Source organism: Homo sapiens, chromosome 18 (assembly GCF_000001405.40).
Source record: "Homo sapiens chromosome 18, GRCh38.p14 Primary Assembly".
NCBI classification, from domain to species: domain Eukaryota; kingdom Metazoa; phylum Chordata; class Mammalia; order Primates; family Hominidae; genus Homo; species Homo sapiens.
Genome location: NC_000018.10, coordinates 30,964,950 through 30,988,877, shown reverse-complemented (window position 1 = coordinate 30,988,877; position 23,928 = coordinate 30,964,950). Strand labels below are relative to the sequence as shown.

General features: G+C 37.3%; 1 pseudogene, besides 1 other annotated feature; it reads right to left on the bottom strand.

Moving 5' to 3' along the window:
• Nucleotides 2,824-3,020: a silencer, noted in NCBI's record as "fragment chr18:28565824-28566020 (GRCh37/hg19 assembly coordinates)". NCBI's record gives its function as "represses an EF-1alpha promoter that drives an FKBP-Casp9 reporter gene in an ReSE screen in HepG2 liver carcinoma cells {active_cell/tissue: HepG2}" and the evidence as "EXISTENCE:reporter gene assay evidence [ECO:0000049][PMID:32094911]".
• Nucleotides 4,663-4,772, bottom strand: RNU6-857P (RNA, U6 small nuclear 857, pseudogene; annotated as a pseudogene).

The window sequence follows — 23,928 nt, the reverse complement described above, 5'->3', positions numbered from 1 at the left end:
TATTTAAGCTGGAAAATACCTTCTGGATAAAAATTTATAAATCCAAGCATAATTCTACTATACTCAAAAGGGTAAAACCTTCTAAAAATTTGAAACGAGTTGAAAATCTGTTGTTGTTCAGATCTGAACTGTCTAAATGGATCCATGTTTCTGTCAAACTGCTCTATGCGTTAGTCAGCATGCTGTCTAAAATAGAATCCATTCTGGAGGGTAATGTCTGCTGAAAATAACATGCTACATTCCTGTGCCAGAACACGTTCTGCGTAACACCACTGAACATCTTTAGGGAGTCCTTGCCTAGACTTTTTATATTCATGATTGAGAGTGGCTTGCACTAAAATACTAGCCTCTGCTCTAAAATAAATTCACCAAAAAAGTAGCAGCATCAAATCTACTTAAAAATGATCACATTTGCCTCTATATAAGATGTTCTTTCTCCCAGACTGTGCTTTGTTGAGTTTCAAGAGACCCTCCCCAGGAGCTTCTGTCCCTGTCTGTTGGCTGCGCAACATTTTACCTTCCAGAGAACAGACAGACCACAGGATTTAGTATGGGCACCTGGGAAGATGGGGAAGAAATTAGTTTTTCTCCCCAAAAGCATGAGATTGTAATACACACAAACATTCTGTAACACTTTTTTTTCTTTTCTGGTGTTTGATTTGTTCTTATTGCCCAGCTCCCATCCCATTTAAGCAACTTTGCCTCTCAGTGCTTCTTAGCTACTATGTAAGTAAACCATAAAATTAACATGGAAACTCCTGGTCTGAAACTCCCAGGTGACCATGACTGGAGTAAGAGCTGCCTCAGTGACCACCTGTGCAAGTTTATGACCAAACACCAGATGGTCATACCCAGAACTCTTACTACCCCACAGGAGTAGGCAAAATTTACACTCAGCCTCAGAAACATTGGGGTGAAAAAATCCCAAAAGACTGAGATTTATCTCTACTACTTTGGTTCAGTTAGGACTCTAAATAGAAACTGACCAACAGAAAAATAAGAGAAGTTAATTTCTGGAACATAGGAGAAGTGAACTGAGATTCTTAGCCACTAGTCAAACAAAAAAAACAACTGGAAATTAATGAAAGAGAGGCAAGAAACATTTCCTTTTGAGATAAACTGGTTTGCACTTTTCGTTTTTTTTTTTTGGAGGGGGTGGGTTACGTAAGTTCCACGTGAGTCCTCCAGGTGTTCTGCCTTTGCCTCTGGGCACCAGTGTGCATGGCTCCTTTTCAAGTATCTACAAGAAAGTGGGGGACACACCCTTCAGTGACTCAGACCTCTCCCACGCCCATGAACAAACAGGAATAGACACTTGGGGCTGGACAGACTCATTGACAGTGCCAGGACTGTTACTAAAGACAACTTCAAAGAGAAAAGGATCTTCAGAAACCAATTTGAAGAAAGCTACAGCTGCTACTTAGCCGTTCAAGAATATTTCTCTGCCTCCCATGCACAATGCAACCATAGTGGGAGGAATATACGCACTATGAACACTATAAACCAGTGTTTTTTATTGGCTCAAACTAATAGATGCAATATGATTCCACAAGGGGTCTGAGTATTTTGCTACTGAATTCTCACATAATTTATATTGATTTTATTGTTTTATTTTCCGAATACCTTAAGGTAAATGTGCATTGTGCAATACAAATGTGTAATTTATTTTATTAAAAGATAGATTTTAGTTTTAACCTTAATAGATTAACTCCCTGTACATATGTAATCTGATTCTGCGTAAATTGCACTACCAGTTATAGAATTGTGCTGTGACATTAAAATTATGGCTCATAGACTTTTCAAGTTTCTATGACATAATGTGATGTGTCCAAGCTAAAGAAGAATTTCACAGAAATTTCTAATACATTGAGATCTCTGTTTTTTTCTTAATATGAATCATCCCAGACACGTTAAAGCAGATATATATTATTATATAAGTTTATTTGGGGAAATATAAAAAAAGGTCTTAAGCATATAAGGCATAGAAAGAGAAAACAAAAGTAGAGAAGAAAGAAGTGACATGAGTTTTCTCAGAATCATATTGGTTTAGTCACATTTTTTTCTGTTGTTCTACCTTAATGAAGTGGGATATCTGTGATCCACAAAGCGATGTCTCAGAGTAGTGTAACATGAATACCTTTCTCAGTCTAAACCTTGAAATGTACTCTTCAAAAGAAAGCCACTCACCTCAGCCTCTTGATCCAGAAAGATCATATATCATTTAGAAGGAATTCAATTTTATTTATGTATTAACTTAGACTACAAATCATATAATCAATCACAAATTCAGATGTAGAAAATATGCCTTTATTTTTTCATAACTTTTGTCTTTATCTTGACATCCTTCCCATTAAGGCAGGTGGCAAGAGTGAAACAAAAACACAATTTAATTAGGTTAAAATTAGGGTTCTCCTCATTCTTCTATCCATAGATTGTGTCTGAATTTCAAGGATTATATGCCCCTTCAATTAATTGGAAATCAAAGTGAAGGATTTCTGCTCTTACGATCTTCAGAAGAGGACTTCTCAAAAAATTTTTAAAAATACTATTTTATACTAGTACTTCAAAAAGTTGTAATTTTTGAATCTAACCAATCTTTCTCAACAGATTTTCTTGGTAATCCAATTAAACAAATTATGTCAGCTATCTGTCATAATTTCCTATCTCCAATCTATACATCAACATGCATACCAAACTAACAACAGAATCAGATTATTGTCTTGATAGACGAGGACAAGGCAACAAAAGAACAATGATCCAAAGATAAGGACAACACATAAACACACATGCACACACACGCGCACACACACGCACACATACGCACACACACAGAGACATGCATACATGCACACCCACGCACACACAGACATACACACACACAGACACACACACAGACACAAATGAGCACACAGATGCGCACACACACGCACACACCCACACACATGCACTTGCACACACAGACTCACACATGCACACACACACGCACACACACACAGACATGCACAGGCCCACATGCGCACACACACAGGCACACACACACGCAGACACATGCACACATGCACATATGCAAGCAGGCACACGCACACATGCAGACACATGCACACACACAGACAAAATATAAGCTTCAAGTTTGAATGCAAGTTATGTTCTAAACAGGTATAATAATTGTTTGGCTTACCATGAGAAAAATGTTTAACTTTCCAAGTGACCTGGGCAAGCTACTTAGTTTCTCTGTGTTTCAGTTTGTTCTCTAAAACAGGGCTCTTCATTTGATTGTTCAGTTATTCAGTCATTCAAACTTTCACAAATATTTCTTGGTGAACTACCACATGCCAAGCACACAGTTCTAGAGGCTAAAGATGTAGCAGTGAATAAAATAGTCAAAATCTGTGTTCTCTTGTCAATTGCATCCCAGAAACAGAAGGGAGACAGGTAATAAACAAATGTACAAATACATGTATAATACATCATGCAGCAATAAATAACACGAAGAAAAATAAAGCAGAGTGAGGGGCATAGAGAACGATGGCAGGTTTTTATTTTATTAAGAGTGGTCGAAGGACGCCCTTACGAAAAGGCAGTATTTGAGTAGAGACCTGAAGAAAGTGAAAGGAAGTGAGGTGGCAAGCCAGTGGGCATGCAGCAAAAATGGGCAGAGAACTTCTGGGGAAAGGAAACAGCTAACTCAAGGGCCCTCAGGTGCTATTTTGCTTGATATGTTCAATAAAGTGGATGCAGCTGAACTTGACTGAGAGCAAGGAAGAGTAACAGGAAATGAAGAGAAGGCAACAGTGGGAAGCCAGAGTCTGTAGGGTCATTGACTGTGATAGCAGATGGGAGGCCAGGCATGGTGGCTCACATCTATAATTCTAGTGCTTTGGAAGGCTGAGACAAGAGGATTGCTTGAGATCTGGAGCTCAAGACCAGTCTGGGCAACATAGTGAGACCTCATTTCTACAAAAAATTAAATAAATTAGCTAGTGTGGTGGCACATGCCTGTAGGCCCAGTTACTTGGGAGGCTGAGGCAGGAGGATCACTTGAGCCCAGCAGTTGGAGGCTGAGTGAGCTATGATTGTGTCACTGCACTCCAGCCGGGGTGACAGAGTGAGACCTTGTCTCAAAACAAGCAAACAAACAAACAAGCAAAATTTAAAAAGTAATAATGATATGGGATCTCACTTTGAATAAGATCTATTGGATGGTTTTGAGCAGAGCAGAGACATGAGCTATAATAGTGTCTGCACCATAGGTTAAATGTTTGTGCACATGTTTTCTTCTTTTTTTCCTTCTCTTCCTTTTCATCTTCTTTCTTTGCCTTCTCTTCTCTTTTTTAAAACATTCTTCTTTTTTTTTTTTTTTTTTTTGAGATGGAATCTCATTCTGTCGCCCAAACTGGAGTGAAGCGGTGTGATCTCGGCTCACTGCAACCTCCCTCTCCCAGGTTCACACAATTCTCCTGCCTCAGCATCCCAAGCAGGTGGGATTACAGGCTCACACCACCACACCCGGCTAATTTTTGTGTTTGTATTTTTAGTAGAGACGGGATTTCATCATGTTGACCAGGCTGGTCTCAAACTCCTAACCTCAAGTGATCCACCCGCCTCAGCCTCCCAAAGTGCTGAGATTACAGACGTGAGCCACCATGCCTATCCCATTCTTCAATTTATATGAAATGTTTCACAAAGTTTGCGTGTTATCCCTGTGCAGGGGTCACGCTAATCTCTGTGTCATTGATGTACAATTTTAGTATATGTGTTGCAGAAGCCAACACTCTTTATTTTCTTCCCCCTGTCATCTGCCTCCCCCACCTCCTCCTTCCTCCTTCTTTTATGTTATTTTTTCTTTTTTTTTTTTTTTGAGACGGAGTCTCGCTCTGTCGCCCAGGCCGGACTGCGGACTGCAGTGGCGCAATCTCGGCTCACTGCAAGCTCCGCCTCCCGGGTTCACGCCATTCTCCTGCCTCAGCCTCCCGAGTAGCTGGGACTACAGGCGCCCGCCACCGCGCCCGGCTAATTTTTTGTATTTTTAGTAGAGACGGGGTTTCACCGTGTTAGCCAGGATGGTTATGTTATTTTTTTCTGCTCCTTTGTTCTAACCCACAGTTAGAACTGAGTTTGCATCCTGGCTTTGCCACTTGCCAGATGCCTTATTTGCACGTCATAGTGGAGGCCCTATGTGAGTGACTCTGGAATATCCAGGGAATATATAAAAAGACATGAACCAGCAAATGTTTTTGAGAACTTAAGCTGCCAGGATCAACATTTGGCATCTTGTTCTTCTTCTAACAATGGGACTCTAACTTGCCTTCTAACATATCTTCACAGCAACGAGCCTGATCTGATTTCAGATCTGATGTTTTCCCTCCAGCCAGCTTACGTTACCTTTTAATGTTTTGTCTCCACCTCAAGTCAATGCACTCTTGTTACAATGCTTGGAAAACATTCCCTTCACACAGAGCCCACATATCCTTCCAAACCTTATGCCATCTTTTGGTCCCTCAGTCTAGGTTTTCTTTTGATCTTTGCACCAACGGTTCTACAATTTACATGGTGGTAAGAAAGGCAAAATATATAAATATTTAGATTCCGAGGAGCCTGTCAAACAAATACATGGAACAATCTTCCTTATGATTAAGCAGATTAAAACAAAGTTTTCTAGGTGATTAAATCTGGAAATTTCTGTAACTTTTATAATAAAAATCGTATCAATTGTGTTTACTGACATTCTCTATAAATAGAGGTAAGGTCACTTGTCAAATTGTTTTACTACGGAGTTAATTCTACCCCTGAGTTTATGTATGTGTCCAGGTAACATATTTTAGATACTTTTTGGAAGGTGTCAAACATGACTAATGTATGATATGGTAATTATTGATCCATTTAATCTATTGTTAATTACTTCAGCTGTACCTTAATTCATAGTTAATACATTGTTTTATTTTCTTTGCTTTTCCCTTCTTTATTTAAAACCAGATGCTTTATTTTAACACACCATAAAACTCAGTGCAATTCGGGTGTGGTGGGTAGATATTTATAAGTGTTTCTTCCTGCTGCTTTGACACGAATCAAATAAACGTACTCGACTGGGCGTGGTGGCTCACGTCTGTTATCCCAGCACTTTGGGAGGCAGAAGTGGGTGGATCACTTGAGGTCAGGAGTTTGAGACCAGCTTGTACAGCATGGTGAAACCCTATCTCTACTAAAAATACAAAAAAATTAGCTGGGCTTGGGGGCACATGCCTGTAGTCCCAGCTACCTGGGAGGCTGAGGCAGGAGAATGGCTTGAACCTGGGAGGTGTAAGTTGCAGTGAGCCGAGATTGCGCCATTGCACTCCAGCCTGGGCGACAGCAAGAATCCGTCTCAAAAAAATATTAAATAAATAAATAAATAAATAAGTAAATAAATAAATAAATGTACTTGATATAATTTCTATGATAAAATTTATTTATTTTCCATACCTTGTCAACATTACGTGAATTATGGCCTATTTTTTTTAAATTCTGTTAAAAATTCTGGAAAATTGATTAGGTTAAGATTTCAGGATAGAGACTGATCTAAGTGGCTTTTTGAAAAATACAGAATATTGTTAAGATGGCAATAAACCCTAGATTGATTTCAGATTCAACACAATTCCTATCAGAATCCTAACTGGTGTCTTTGCAGAATTTGACAAACTGATACTAAAACTGATAAGGAAACTCAAGGCCAATAGCCAAACCAAACGAAAAAGAAAACAAAGTTGGAAGATCACACTTTCTGATCGCAAAACTTACTATAATGCTTTTTTCACTTGTGGATATTAAAGTAACGTTAGGTGGTGGTAAAATTAGCCTATTACCTCTTCTCTCTCTTTTTTTTTTTTTTTACATCTCCTCACTACACAATTTTAGTCAATAGTATTGTCTTTCATAGTGTTTACCTCTGTACTTTTAAATATGCTGAGACTTCTGTTACTTGAATTGCCCTCTTTATATGATATATTAAATATTTTGAGTCTCAGCTACTATAGATAAGGGAATTGGGATGTGTATTTTATTTTCCTCCTATTTCCCTTTTTCACTTCAATTTTTTAAAACAGATTTGTAATTTTGCTTTAGCTCTTTGGGCACATTTAAGACAGTTGTTTTAAATTTTTTTGTCTGGTAAGTGTGATGTCTAGGCTTCCTCCCAGCCAGTTTATGTCAATTTATTTTGTTCCTTTGAATGAGCCATGTTTTCCTCTTCCTTATATACCTAGTGATTATTTTGTTGTTGTTGCAAATTGGCCATTTCATTATTATAATGCGGTAACTCTGAAAATCAGATTTTCCCCATTCTTCAAGACTTTCTATTTTTTTAATTGTTAAAAGCTTCAGTAATCCATCTGTTTTGAGACATTTTTAAACTATGCAGCAATTATTCTTGTTATATGTACTCATTGAAGCCTCTGTTCCTTCAGCTCATGTTCGGCAAATGCTTTGAAAGAGATTTCCTTGAATGCCAGGAGCTGAAACAGACAAATAAACAAAAACACCCCCTTGCCCACCCCGCCACCACACACACACACAAAAGACTGAAAAGAAAGAACAACTACCTCTCCCAGTCTACACAAATGTACTTCATGCAGGGGTAGCCATTCACCGGTTAGCTAGGCTTGCTTTGATCCTAGGTCTCACCTTGAGGTGAAAGCTTAAGGTCTTCTCAGGACATTTCTGAGCATGAGTCTTGGCTGGACATGCACTTGTGACTCTCTAAAGTCCCGTGTGTATGTAAGCAGTTACTATTCAATGTCCTAATTTCCCAGAGTCTTACCCCAGCTTCCTCTCTGGGCCTTAGATGGTCTATTATGTGTGATCTCCTATCCCAAGCATGTGTGGGTTTGTAGTTCCTTATAGCTTTTATGAGGACCTCTTTCTTTGCCTGTATTCCAAATTATGCCAGACAGAGACTAGCGCATCAGTTCTTCAAATAACCTCCAACCAGGTTAGAACAGATATGCCCAGTAATTTGCAAATAAGGTATGTTCTGCTCCCTTCAATTTGAGGATGAGGGGAACTAGAAACTGAGTTGCTTTTTCCAATACCAAGATTGCCACTGGGCCAGGGACGGAGTGGAGAAAGTAAAAACACCACAAAATGTCTCCTACCGTTTTGGAGATGTCTTCTTCTTGATTGGGTGTTTGCTTGGTTGCTACAAACCTTTGTTTTCAGAGTTCATTCAAAGTTGGTTTAGATCATTTCAGGGTGTTTTGTTGTTGTTTTTTAACGTTTCTTTGGAGGAAAAGCATTTGGAGCTTTTTAGTCTGCTATTCTGCTGACGTTGGATTCTACAGAATTCTTAACTTTCCAAATAATTCCATTTGTTTTCATGTTTGTATGCATCTTCTGGTATTTTATGTGTGAAAAGATGTGCTGGGAATAAAATAATTAAAGAATGCATTGTTTATTATCTAGAAGTTTAGCTTTATTCCCCAATGAGCCATGAGTAGAATGTTAAATCATAATGACTCAGGCTCAGTGATAACATTCGTCTGTAGAAATTATGTATAAAATACTTCCTGATTTTGGTAATATTTATGTACAACAGCTTACATCGCTGTGCTTGATTACCCTGTAGAGTTGGTAAATATACTTCAGATACTTTATATATAATATCACATATTTATTTCAAGTCATAAAATTATTTGCTTTCATTTACAAATATATATATCTGTTGACTTTTTAAAAAATATATTTGAAAATAGCTAGTAGTGTTGACTTCATGTTTTAAATCCTTTTTTATGTTTTTAACGAATTCTTGTATTTTTTCTTTTAGAAGAAATGACACTCTTTTTCTGAGAAACTATAATGTGTGGACATAGGAACTGTCTTTGTGAAGGTAATTTTCAAAATCATGTTGACTTAATCAACCCAATTAATGTTGTAATTATGAAATATCCTCACAAGTAGGCTTTAAGGTTGGTTTTGCTTCCAATTACATTTTCAATTAACTAAGAAGTGCTTTATGGATAAAAATTTGTCCAAATAAGACCTTTGAGAATAAAGGGGTGATTTTGGAGAATGTCAACCAAGCACTTTCAAAGGATTATTTTAATAATGACACAAGGGTAAACAGAGAGAGGTGAGCTGCTCTGTGGTGTTGACTGCCCGTAGGAGTGTGTTAGAATGTCAATGCCCAACCAAGTCAATAACCACTTAATATCATGATAAATCTTTCTGCATGTATCTTTTATAAAAAACAGGAACATAAAAAGGTATAACGAGATAATCATAATGTTCCTGTTTTTTAAAAGGTATAATGAAATAATCATTATGTTTCTGTTTTATAAAAAAGATATTATTATAATAAAAATGATATATGCTTATTATTAAAAATATAAACATTGAAAACAAGTATAAATAACAAAACACATATCATCCCCAGTTTCCACCAATCTGAACTATCCCAGCTGGGGATCCTTTCGTTCTTAAGGTAGCGAAGTTTCATCCTCCACTCAGCCTAGTGCACTGAAAGACAAAAAGCTGTGTGTGATCTTCCTACCTAAGCTGAGGTCTCAAGGTGAACCTTGAAAACTTCTGCTCCCAGCAGTTTCCTAGTCTCGGTGGTTTTATCTTTGTAATTTTCCTCACAGCAGCTGTCAGCTTATCTCAGAATTGAAGGCTGTTGGTAGGAATATTCAGGATTTAAAAAATAATTTCTATTCTTTTCTCAGTACTCTCTCTTCGAGGTGGGATGGAGGTCAGAAGCTGTGCTACATATAAAATCACAAGACTTTTGTTTATTTATTTTGGTGTTTGTTTTTCTTTTCGAAGTTTGGGGGGTGCATATGACTAAGCTTCATTTCTTGTTTGATTGCAACTGGTAAATTTATTTTAACTGGTTTTATTCTACATTATGATGAATTCAGCTTGAGATAAAACCATTTTAGATTTATCTAGATGCATACGTATTAGGCTGTTATACTCCAGCTTTGTGTATCAACATCAAAAATCTGGGTGGTAAAAGTAAAAGCTAATCTCTTACCTCTTACCTTAACCACATACATTTTATTGATATCATGTCAAGAATCCATATGTTTTCAATACTAGACATTAAGAATTATCTGTCTTCATTTCATGAAAACAATGGTAGTGTTAAAAAATATTACCCCAGTCAATTTTTAAAATATATCAAGGATGAGTTATATACTTATTTAGCACCTACTTAGTCTTTTTATTTCTTTTTCTTCTTACTTACTATCTCCTTAATTTATATACAGATGTTCTAGCTGGAGAAAATAATGACAAAAATCTTTTTTTATTGTCTTTTTTTAAATTATTATACTTTAAGTTCTAGGGTACATGTGCACAACATGCGGGTTTGTTACATATGTATACATGTGCCATGTTGGTGTGCTGCACCCATTAACTCGTCATTTACATTAGGTATATCTCCTAATGCTATCCCTCCCCCACCAACCCCACGACAGGCCCCAGTGTGTGATGTTCCCCTTCCTGTGTCCATGTGTTCTCATTGTTCAATTCCCACCTATGAGTGAGAACATGTGGTGTTTGGTTTTTTATCCTTGTGATAGTTTGCTGAGAATGATGGTTTCCCGCTTCATCCACGTTCCTACAAATGACATGAACTCATCCTTTTTTATGGTTGCATAGTATTCCATGGTGTATATGTGCCACATTTTCTTAATCCAGTCTATCATTGATAGACATTTGGGTTGGTTCCAAGAATAATGACAAAAATCTTAATGTTACAACAACATTTCTATATAATAAATATTTTCTTCCAAAATTAATTGCAAATTTAGACAGGATTTGTTTCCATTAGAGAATACCAAGGAAAATATTTTAAAAACATTAATATAAATAATTGTAAATATTTTAAAACTGTACTTAAGAGTTTTTTGTGTAAGGCAGGAGTTTTCTTTTCTATGAAAGTATGGATTTTTAATTTCTGTGTGAGAATAGTGAAGAGGAAAAGGATGTCTAGACATTCTTTCCATATTAATGAGTAGTGAATCATAATATGATTTGGATTTTTTTTTTTTGATGGCAAGGATGTGGCCAAGATCTTCAGAAAAAAAAAAGCACCATACCTGAAGGCAAGGGAAATGGTAGACAAAGATCCTAAAAAATGACTCTGTAAACCAAAACTGTAGTCAAAAGCTCATTAAATAACCTAATACAGATAGAAATCAAAATAAACTAGGCAAAATTCCTACCTAGAAAGAAAAAAGTCTATGTCAGAATTTGGAGAAAGTAAAGAAAAACCAGAGCTCTAGAAGCAAAAGCATTCAAGCGAACAGCATTCAACTAAGGATTTAGATTATTTTAGAACATGGTGGAATTTACTGGAGAAAAGGAAGGTTTTACTGAGACACCACAGAAAAATTTTTTATCAAGACAGGCAAAAAGACAAAAATATGAGAAAATGAAAGGTAAATACCAACTATAATTTAAAATAGGGTGATTATCTGGAAACTTGAAACAATAATTGTTGTGCTCATGTGTTGATGTGGTTGTCTACTTGAACCAGCAAACAAGGTGAGGAGGAACAGGTGCAGCTATCATAAAATCAAAGTATGGAAAAAGTATGGAATCTAGTGGCAAGACCTTATTCAGTGTGAATAAGAAAAGGAAGCAAATTAATCTAGTTGACAAATCAGATGAGGATGCTGCATCCTATTTGTGATACTGATTGCAAATTCTTCTTCAATTTGTGTCTCAGTTGCTGAAGGACAAGATATGTATTTCTATATTGGACCAGTTACCTCTTCTCTAGGTCATATTGATTTTCTCTTCTTCTTGTAAGTTTGCTGAAGGCAAAAGTAACAATTTCAACCACCTGTAATTTAAACAAAATGTGACATTTAAAAAAACTCAACCTAAAGTTAGCAGGAATGGATCTCTGTGTGTCATCACAGTCCCATTTTATACTCCTCCGTCTTGCTATTTGCTATATGGAAATTAATGATCCAGCATCTTCTCTAGGAATGCAACTAGAAAAAGGAGGTGAGGAACTGGTACAGTGGCAGTGAAGGGACACGTGCCCACACAGTTCTTCTTCTGATCATGCCAAGAGTTACTTTGAGTCAAATTCGAAGGCCTGAAAAACTATTACTCAAATTGACCCAGCACTGAAAACATCAATTCCCTGTTCCTTCTCATGTACCTTCCTGCAGTTTATAAGCCAGAAACGTAATAGCTAAATTTCTCAGCCTCATTCGCATTTAGGATTTTGGCCACAATTTTGATTCCATCCATCAGGTGCTTTTGTACATACCCTAGAAGGCAGAAGTGAGGCAGAGGCCTGGTTTGTGTTTCTCATATGCTTTGATTCTGGAAAGAACTATTTTGGAGGTGCCTTATTTTTCTGCAATTGCTTCCTGCTAATTGATGTTTCTTGGTTGTGGCTTTGTCCTGATGGGGGTAGTTTTGTAAGTGTAGTAGTGGTGGTTTACTCCTGGAGCCAGTTGATGTAGAACTAGCTCCCATGGTGACATTGTTCTGCAGTGTGGCTCAATGTTACTTCCTACATATTCAACTTGGAATGTGTTTTCTCAGGCTTCTCAACAAGTCTGTAAACAATTAATACTCTTAATTAATATTTTTGCTAGAACTACTTGAGGTATAGTCTGTTCTCCTTGAACCCTGACCCATACTGTCTCCTATTCATTGGTGAGTCCAAATATCTAATACTGGTCCAAACAGTGCAGTTAAATATTGATGGTATTAAATATTGGCTAAAATATTCATAGCACTGAAAAGCTGGCTGCTGAAATGTGTGCATTAGCAGGTATTACTAGTATGCATGGCTAGCAGCGAGATAATAAGTGTCCATTGCTAAACCATTTCCCAGCTATTGCTTTGGATTGAGACACAGGACAATTTCTCAGGTTTCAAAGACATGGTTGAATTGTCATTCCAGTTCAAATGCTACATTGCAAGCTCTCTTGTGTGTATGAATGTATGCAGTAGGCAGTTAAAACAGGCATTTAGGATGATTACAAGTCTCATCAAGAAACCTATTCCTTTTGCGACAGGAAGACCTCTAAGATGGTCCTCAGTGATCCCAATATCCTAGTATTCATACTCTTATATAATCTCTCTTTGAACGCAGGCTGGAGATTGGGACTCTGTTCTAACCAACAGAGCATGACAAAGTTAAGGAGGTGTGACTTCTGTAATTTGGTTACAAAATATTGCAATTTCCATGTTGTTTGTTGACTCTACTGCTTTTTCAGCTTCTACTATTTGATGAAGCAAGTTTTCATGTTGAGGATGCCCATACAGCAAAAATCTGAGGGCCTCCTCCAGCCAACAAGTTAGAGAGGAACTGAGGCCCTACCCCAAGAACCCATGAATAACTGAGTCCTACCCACAACCATGCAAGCTTGGGAGCAGGTCCTTACCTGGTTGAGCCTTGCAATGATTAGGGGCCACTGGCACCATTATTATAGCCTGTGAGAGACCCTGAAATAGAACAGATTTCTAACTGAAAGGAACTGAGAGATAATAAATATGTCTTCTTTTAAGCCACTAAGTTTTGCCATAATTTGTTGCTCAGTAATAGATACTTGTTGCTTAGTTTTATTTAGCTGTACTAAATTGGTAGTTTGTTCATTGAAAAAGCACCTGATGTCTCTGCTGGCAAGCAGGGAGTGTAATAGCTTCCAACTCTCTTAGTTTAGAACTGCAAAGATTAAAAATATTTGAAACAAGATGGAGAGACTTCTGTCATTTTAGCGAAGCATTTGAAAATTGGAAGCTCTATTGGTCAAGGATTGGTTAAGAATATTCACTTTGAAAAAGACCGTTCTCTTTCTCTCTCATTTCCACTGGTCTCTCAGGCCAACTATCTCAAAATTGTCAATGGTATGTTAGCATTATTTTTATCATTATTTTCTGAAACATCTTTTCTGCTTTCACATGATAGCTATGCTTACATTTCCCCAGCTGCTTTTTGAACTTCCTTCCAAGTGAACAAGCTATGAAAACTCTACTTTTCTACCCCGCCCCCCACTTTCTGTCTCCCCCTCTCTCTGACTCTTGCACTCTGTCCCCATTTCTCCCATTTCTGGCTGCAAGGAAAGACGATATCTTAGTCTTTGAAGGGAGAGTCACTCTAAGCCAGGATAAAAGCATCCGTAGTAGGCCAGCATCATTTTGAGCGGGACCATTGTCAGACTCAAGAGCTGACCTCAGGCGTTTGGGGTTTATGAGGAGAGACTTCCAGGTACCAGCTGTGCATAGTGTCAGCATAGGGAGGTCATGTAATTATATCCAGAGTCCCCAACTGTCTGCTGTCTAGTTCCCATTTAAGAGGAAATGTCACACTGCTTGCCCCAAAAGTACTTGCACTCCAGTTCCAACATGTGAGTGGGAGGTACAAATGTCTTAAGTTTTCATGACAGTTTTTCGTTATCTTATGAAGATTTCTGCTCCATAATGGTCGCAACATCTGAATCTCTTAGAAGATTCCTGGACTCCTGGTGAAGTGGGTATGGGATTGAAAATGGACTCTCATCTGTATTTTTGGGGTTGAACTGGGTAGTTTAACATCCTTAGCCTAGGGGAAAGGGAAAGTAGATACCACTGGAAGACAACCAAGCCTGAATTCCATGATGAAATATAACATAGTTAACACAATTCACTGGAAAGAAATACATATCCCAAAGTGTTCTCATTGAAATAGTCCCAATGGCCTGCTAAGGAATGATGATATCAGTGTTTCACTAACCTAGCCTTATGAGGTCAAGCTCCTTTCTGCACTGAGGCCTTTGTGTACGGTTTTTCTTCTACTTGGAATTCTTCCCATTCTCTTTAACGGTCTTTTATTCAAGCTAATTTGTATTAATTGTTGAAGAATCATCTTAACTTTATTGTCTTCCAAACCTTTAATACTGGGTTTTATTTTCCTGTGAGCAGTTACTCAAACTGTGTAACTGGAGAAAATTCACCACCGTTTCCTTCAATACCATCACCATCACTACCCATCGCTCACTTCCAGGTGTGTTGCTTGGTTAGAAGACTAAGTGGAAGAATAAAAGACTTACTCTGACTCCCTTTTATGTAAGAAAAAAATAAAAAATTCCTTGTTCATAAACCTAACCTTATATGCAAAGGGAAGACCTCCCATTAATTTTAATTTCAGAATGTCTGCTGTGTCTTTATGTAGCTAAGAGAGTCGTCAAAGGGTGTATGGCTCTGTAATGTACCCAATTTATTATTTGTTTTATATATATCAGGAAGCCTTGGAACATAGGCTTATAAAAAAGAAAAGGTGGTCAGGCATGGTGGCTCACACCTGTAATCCCAACACTTTGGGAGGCTGAGGCAGGAGAATCCCTTGAGGCCAAGGGTTTGAGACTAGCCTGGCAACATAGCAGGTCCCTGTTTCTACAAAAAAAAAAAATAATAATAATAAATAAAAAACCAGTTGGGCGTGGTTGTGAGCACCTCAGCTACTCAGGAGGCTGAGGTGGGAGGATCGTTTGACCCCAGAAGGTAGAAGCTGCAGTGAGCTACGATCGTGCCACTGCATTCCAGCCTGGGCACAGAGCAAGACCCTGTCTAAAAAAATAAAGAAAAAGAGGCCAGGCTCGGTGGCTCATGCCTGTAATCCCAGCACTTTGGGAGGCTGAGGTGGGCAGATCACGAGGTCAGGAGTTCGAGACCACCCTTGCCAACATGGTGAAACCCCATCTCTACTAAAAATACAAAACATTAGCTGGGTGTGGTGGTAGGCACCTGTAATCTCAGCTACTCAGGAGGCTGAGGCAGGAGATCGTTTGAACCTGGGAGGCGGAGGTTGCAGTGAGCCGAGATCGCGCCATTGCACTCCAGCCTGGGCGACAGGGCAAGACTTCGTCTCAAAAAGAAAAAAAGAAAAAGGAAAAGTAACAAACGGAAACCACCACTATTCTTTGGGAGACGAAGGATGCTGCCTCTATGAGCAATGGAAGGGGTTGTTTTAGGAAAATATGTCTTTTTCTTATTGTCAATTTAAGCTTTATGCCCTTGAAAATAATGTGTGTGTGTGTGTGTGTGTGTGTGTGTGTGTGTGTGTGTGGTTTATGTATGTGTGATGCATCTGCTTGTTGGGTTCAATAGTTACCAGCTGGATGAATAACTAGGAAGAAGGAAGCATCTTTGAATACCTCCCAGGGGGACAGTCTCGACTGCTATGGGAAGATTTGAAAAGTCAGGAGTTTTCTTAGAGAAACGTGGATCCAAGGACAGGGAGGAACTGCTAGGAATTGAGGTGCATCCAGAGGTGTCTGCTCTGAAGAATGTAACTCTTGGCAACGTTTTTTTATTACTATGGTAATGATCATGGTTAACATGCAGTTTTCTCCTCTAGGTTGTAACTCCTTTTTCTTTATCCCCCAAACACTTAGTACTATCTTACGTGCCCTTGTGGTCTTTTGGTTTGGAATCTTGAGACACAAAGGAGGAAGGCAGTAAAGTGCATTCTCCCACATTTACTGAGTTCTTCGTGGGGCAGCAACACCGTATTGGGTGGTGGTGGGTGATTTATGCAGTGACCAGCAGGGAATAGACTTGGAGAAGCAGCTGCTGGTGCAGAAGTGGGTAGACATGTGAAAGCTTCTCTTCCCTAGTATGTTAAAGGAGGGTGGTATCTGAATGAATAGAGATGATTCTCATACTCCAATGAAGTATTTCTGCATATAATTATGTGTTTACCATTTATTTTTTCCCATAGATGCCCCATGAAGCAGAAGTTAAATGAAACTTGTTTATCATTTATTTCTACTTACTAGCATACAGGACACCAAATAGCTTTTAAAAAAGTATTTTTTAAATTAATGAAACAGTAACTATATTTAGGGCTTAAAGTAGGAATATTTTATCACTTTTGGAACTGACCACCAGCTTAGTTCTAGTTAGTCGCAATTAGCTGATATTACAACTATTATTTCTTGTAAAAGGCAGTATGACTATCATCAAATTGAAATGATTAGAACATTTATAAATTAAATTGCATGTAAACAGCCAAGTGGGAATGTATATGGGTAGGCAGTTCAAAGGCAGTCTAACATTAGACCTCTTAGAAGCAGTGGTTAATTATTATTTACCCTTAAGATGTATGCAGTAAATTTTGAAAAGATGGATAAAGGAAATGAAAATCAAATAGATTTCCTAAAGAAAGTGGTCCTAACAAATTGAACTGTTATCTTAATGAAATTATAATAAGTTAGTTTGAGTTCAGAGATTACTCTAAAATTATCTTTCTGGATGTAATCACTGCAGTGTGGCACTTTTGAGGCAAATGTCCACTCCGTTTTCAGATCCAAAATGTGATTTAAGAAATGGCCACTAGATGGCAATATATATTGATAAATTCAATCATTTTCATGGTTAGGTCAAAGTTATATGGTGTACAATCTTCACAAAAATTGTTTAAAAATAAATGGAATGATTCACATCAGTTAAAATATATGAGAAACTTTAAAAATAGAGTTAAAAATTCTTTCAGGAATTTTGGATTTTTTGGGGGTTTTTTGGTTAACAAATATTCTGAGTGGACAACAAAGTAGATTGAAAGTTCAGTATTTGTGATGTCAACATGTCTGTTGTGAGATATTATGGATCCTGAAAAATAATAGTAACATTTTGGTTTATATCCTCTAAATTAGCATATATTAATAGCAGGGTTTAAAAGGCTGATACTAATGTCTATATCCCTTCTCTTCAAAAGGAAGAATGTGTAGAACGTCCCAAATGGAACTCTTTATAAAACATTTCCATACGGAACATTTTTTAGGTCAAGTACTGTTCTAAGTGAGGATTTTTAAGCATGACAGATAATAACATTTGAAGTATTTGTAGCCACATGAAGAAACAGGAAATACGCATAAAGTTAAAAAAGTATATGGAATATGGATATTTCAAATCCAAAGTAATTTTTGAGAAGATTGTAATTTTTAAACTTTGAAAAGTACCTAAAATTAATTGGATAGTTCATCCAGCTTTGAAATAAATTATATCCTGTTCTGCAGTGAATAATGGGGAAATAAAAAATCCTATATTAATGAGCCGAAATAACTTGATATAATCAGAATGGATTTTTGCACATTTTAATTTTATCATTATAAATGAAGGAAATGGGAGCAGAGACGAGAAACTGGGTATTCCTAAAAAAAGAAGCTGTAAGGCTGTCATGGATAGATCTTTTACATCTTCTCTAAAGCTATAATATTTCTCACTACAAATCGTGTTCAGATTGATAAAACTGTGAGGCTACAGGATACTACAGCATGAAAGACAGATTCTGTCATGCCCGTCTTACTGGATTAAAATTGAGAAATTTCTTGGTGAGGTGTCATTGCAACCACACACACGGGGAGAACTAAATATCACACACACTTTCCCCATGAATGAATTTGCCACCATTTCCATGTGTTAGGCAGGAAAGGATTGAAGTCTGATTAATAACCGCTGGTGGATGTTTTTGAATTAAGCAATCAATTTTGATTTATCGTCCTATGCTGCCATCCTGTGGTTACCTGAGAAATGAATAAAGTGGAGAAATCCAATGTTTAAAAAAATGGTTTGAGCCATCTGCTTCTGTGGCATAATAGAAAAAAGAGACTCAAGCAGATATGTGCCTTCTGTCTCTAGAAAGAATGACATTCACGGGCATTCTTTCATTTATTTTTCTCTATCTTCCACCCCTCAGAGATAGGCTGAGTTTGAAATAGTTGCTGCATAATGTATGAAGGAGAAAAATCCTGAGAGGACTTAACAGTTCTGAGAAATAATTGTCTCTTATTCTTACATATTTCCATGGCGGGAGGGAGGAAGGACATTTATTTTCACCTTAATTTTCATTTGATCAGGAGAACTCATTCCTTTCTGAACAGTTTGTCTAAACTAAGCTTTGAAAAATATCCATCATATCCACATAGTAATGAAAAAGCGAATGCTGATCAGCGCAGGGCTGGGCTGATTTATTTTGGAATGCCACTACTGCAGGGTTTATCTTTTTTTATCTTAATGAAACATGCTGCTATTATGCAAGTGTTCTTGCTATTACCTGCAGAATAATCTACCCTGTAATGGAATGAAAGTCTCTTTTAGGCAATGCAATGTAGAAATACTTTCACTTATTCACAGCAGATAATGAATTAGCTTCTAAAAGAAGGATAGCTTCTCATCACCTATTTATAATTTAAAACAAATGACTCGCTCTTTCACAGTTGCATTTAATGAAAAAGTAATTTTAAAACACTATGTTAACAATTAACTTAAATAATATTAATATTGGTCATTGTATTAATTGTGAAACCAATTAAAGTCATTAGTATATACCAGGAAGTTTTCTGTTGATAGTTCTATTTTACATAGCTATGATGAGGTTTAGCGTGTAGCTCAAACTCATAAAGGAAATAAGTTGAAAGAAAGGATTCTGAACTATTGATTCAGTTTTATGTTTAATTACTCATTCATACAGCCCTGGATATTACATTTCAGAAAACGTTAATTATTATAATTTTCATATGAAATACTTATTCCTGGCACTTTTATGTTAAAGTATTAACAAACCATGGCTTTGTCTGATTGAAAGGAAAGCTGAGATACAAACCCGCTAAAGTTTATTTTCCCTCATTTATAACTTCTAGTTACCTACTAAATGAGGACATTATTTGTTAAATACTACTGTGTTGAAAATCTAGCTGGGAAGAATATTGCCACTAAATAAGCCTTCTATCTTTGGAATACAGGTTGAATTTAGTAAACATCATATTAAAATGCAGTCATCTTATCAATTATAAGTACATAGTTACCATCATGACTTCAGGTTATATTTAATTTCCCTCTAGGAGGAAAAAGTTATATACATAACAGATGAAAAAGGTAAACAACCACTTACTAAGTAAATAACATAAAGCAATTCTCCATCAAAGCCTCAGTAATTACTTTGTGGAACAGGCTGCCCTTAATAAAATAATTAATTAATTTTTCCAAATGAATTATGCAAGCCAATATTTTTTCTTCATTAATGTTTTGTTGAAGTAATTAAGTTTTATTAATGAATAACAAAGAAGGAATTGGGTCTTTATTCTAACTGCTAGATATTAATGTGCTTAACTTGAACTAAATGTGTTTCCAGTATGTAATCAAATTTGAATCAATCAAGTCAATTTACCAGTCAAATGTCCTTTTGGAGCTCCAGCTGCTTCCTGTGAAGGCTCTTCACAGAGAACATGCAGAAAGTGACCCAGAAGACTCTGTGGTTCTGCCAAGTATCACATCAATTCTTAATTACAATCCGCTTGATTTTCTAAAGGACGCTACTGGTGCCTCACACAGAACTCTATTATCTGATTCTAATTATGATGAATTTGGATAAAAGCTTAAAATTCATCAGTGTAAAATAAATGACTATTAGCTGAGATGTCGGTTTCCTCTCCAAAGAAGTAAGAGGACAGAAAAAGTCATGCTGGTCTTAGCTCTACAAGAGTATGAATGCAGGCAGGTATTACCATTCAATTTCCATGAGATGTATGGCCTACAATTCTTAAAAGGGTATCTGAGGCCGGGTGCAGTGGCTGATGCTTGTAATTCCAGCATTTTGGGAGGCCAAGGCAGGCAGATCACCGATGTCAGGAGTTTGAGACTAGCCTGGCCAACATGGTGAAACCCCGTCTCTACCAAAAATAAAAAAAATAGCCAGGCATGGTGGTGCGCACTTGTAGTTCCAGCTACTCTGCTTGGGAGGCTGAGGCAGGAGAATTGCTTGAACCTGGGAGGCAGAGGTTGCAGTGAGCCGAGATCGTGCCACTGCACTCCAGCCTGGGCGACAGATTGAGACTCTGTATCAAAAAAAAAAAAAAAAAAAAAAAAAAGGGTATCTGAAAAAGAGTGACAAAACTCATTTTGTTTACATATCATTGCTGTCTACCTGGAAACAAAACGTATTGGTTACTGAATACTTTACACATGACATCATGATACAGTCTTACTCCTGAGACAAAGCCTGAGCTCACCCTTATATAATCTGTGGAGTATCTGAATAGGAACACATTCTCCAGATACCTGTATTTGTTAGTGGGTATGTGTTGCTTAAGTACCGGTATTTACTGATAACTGAAGTTGTTTTACTTGGTAGTTTTCAAAGCAAATCAATAGATTTAATGCAATTCCTATCCAAATTCCAGTTCTCACATATGCATGCATCTGTGTTTGTGTGTGTGTGTGTGTGTGTGTGTGTGTGTAGACATAGACAAACTTATATTAATACTAAGATTTTTACGGAAAGGCACAGGCACTAAAACAGCTAAAAATATCTTACAGCTTTTCTGTCTTGTGATTTACCTAGTGGACAGACTTCATTGCTACTACTCCTATGAAGGTTATGTTTTGCCATCACTGGGGTCTGGGTCTCTTTCCGTCTTACTCTCCTTAGAGCAGGCCAGCATTCTTTGAATCAACAGAAGCTCCACTCTACAGAGGTGACTGTAACACCAGTGATATTTCTCACTTGTCTCCATTTTTTAGAAAGAAACTTCCACATTTCTCATCAATACAGCTTTCTATTTTCCAGCTTGGTAGTCCTGAAATGAAGCATCAAAAGTTTTTAATTATGGGGCACCACACAAAAGATGATGATAGCATATCAAAATCAACATTTTACTTCTGAAAGAGCAATGAGTGCTTTGAGGTTCATTTAGGAAAGCTTGAGCAGTTCAAGTTTGGTTGTGTTTATATTATGACATTTATGATGACAAGCCATCTGGATGAAAAGTAGAAGTTCTGTGAATTAACCAGATGTGTCCAAATATCTGAATTTGCAGCATCAAAAGACTGACAGTTTTTATCTGAAGCTAATTAGCTCTTGCCTGACTGTCAGATTGGAGGATTATTACACCATCAATGGTGTGCATCTCTCAGGTGACATTTAGCTATCATCCCTTGATTGTAAAGAGTTGGTAGAGAGCCACTAAGAGTGGGGTCTTGGGAGTTAGACAACACCTGGCTTGAATCCTACTTCTCTCACCTGTTAGCTGGGCACCTTTGAGCGGACTATGAAACTTCACTCTTCAAATTATGAAAAATCTACAGTACAAAGATTTTAATCATGAATACCTTCTAGAGTGGATATGAGAGTTAATGCAATATAGGCATCATCTGGCATAAAGTATTAAATATGAGGTATAATTATTACATGCATTGGCTTTTTAAGTGTATAGATTTAGGGGTATGAGGGTAGCTGTGTTACATGGATATATTTCACAGTGGTGATATGGGGTTTTTAGTGTATCCATCACCCAAATAGTGTACATTGCACCCAAGAGTGAATGCATGCCTTTTTATCCACCTATATTAATGTTTTAACGGCAAGGACTAATTTAATATCTTCCGCAGTGCCTAATATGCAGAAAGTACTCAGTAAATATTTGTTATATTTGATAAATAAGTGTAACAAAATGCTATGTTACATCAGTTACTCCTTTCAGTATAGATTAGGTTTTTAAGTCCTCCAAGTTCCACCTCTGAGAGCTTCCATAAACTGATTAGTAGTGCCTTCTTTAGATAAGAAAGTCACAGCAGACACACCTCTTAGAAGAGTAGTTGAGAAAACTCAAAATTTTTTACTCTCAAAATTAAAAACGATGTCAAAATAGTTCATTTTACTTTCTATTACTGTGGATAAAAGTCTTTCCACTATCGATGAGAACAGTGGGGTTTAGAAATTTGCTGAAAGTTGCCCTGATGACAAATAGAAGTGGGATGTGAACTAGGTGTTGTCTAACTCCCGAAGGCTCCACTTTAACTCCTGGCCTCTATTAATACCTCACAATCAAGAAGTGATGGCTAAATGTCATCCGAGCGACACATGATTAATGGCATAATAATTCCTCAATCTTACAGTCAGGCAGGAAACTAATTATCTTAAGATAAAAATTTAGTCAGTCTTTTGATGAAAATTTGGATATTTATACATTATCACATTATATGGGAAAGGCACATCTTCAAATTATAGAACACGTCATTTTAATCAAGTTTAAGAGAAATATGTATGAATTTTACTTTATTCCTTCGTATATGCATTCCATATATACTTACGGTCTCTGAAGCTCTGGAGATGCAGAAGGGAATTACATGCTTCTTGCTTCCAATTTGTAGACTGATAGAGTTAGGAATAACAAAAAATAATTAGAATATAACTATAATGTGGTATTGTAGATATGCACTAAATGTAAAAGTGGCAAAGAGATGGAGTGATGAGGTCTACCACAGGGAGGTAAGGGTAAGGTCTGGATAGGCATAACAGAGAAGGTGATGCTTAAATTGAGTATGCAAAGAGTAGATCTTCAGCATCAGGACCAAGAAGGCCACTGCAGAGAAAGGGAGCATTAAAAGCAAAGACGATGGCACAAAACCCCATGGTCCATTTGATGAACTGCAAATAACTCAGTTGGTTGCGACACAGAAGAGTACAAGGGGAGCACAGGCTATGGCGAGAAAAGGCCTTGGATAAATAAGCAGGGGGCAGATGTTGAACTGTGCAGACTCAGTGCTGGAGCCAACAGTAGCCAGTGAAAGTTCTTACATACAGATTTTAAGAAAGATCACTCTATTGGAAATAAGGAGGGCTGGAAAGACCGAAGACAGAGGAACTAGTTTAAGGACTATTATAATCATGTAGTTAAAGGGCGATTTTGGCTTAGATAAATGGTTCTTCGTTCTGGCTACATAGTGAAACATCTTGGGGATCTTTTTAAACTTACAGATTCCTGGGCTCCACTCTGGATGAATTAAATCAGAATCTGGAGGTCTAGAACCTGGCATTGGTATTTACAAAAAAAAACCCCAAGGGATTGTACTATGCAGCAAGTTTTGAGAACCCACAGCTCAGCTTATGATAGTTACATCAGAGATAAAGAGTGGGAGTTGAATTTGAGGCATTTTTAAGGTGTGAAT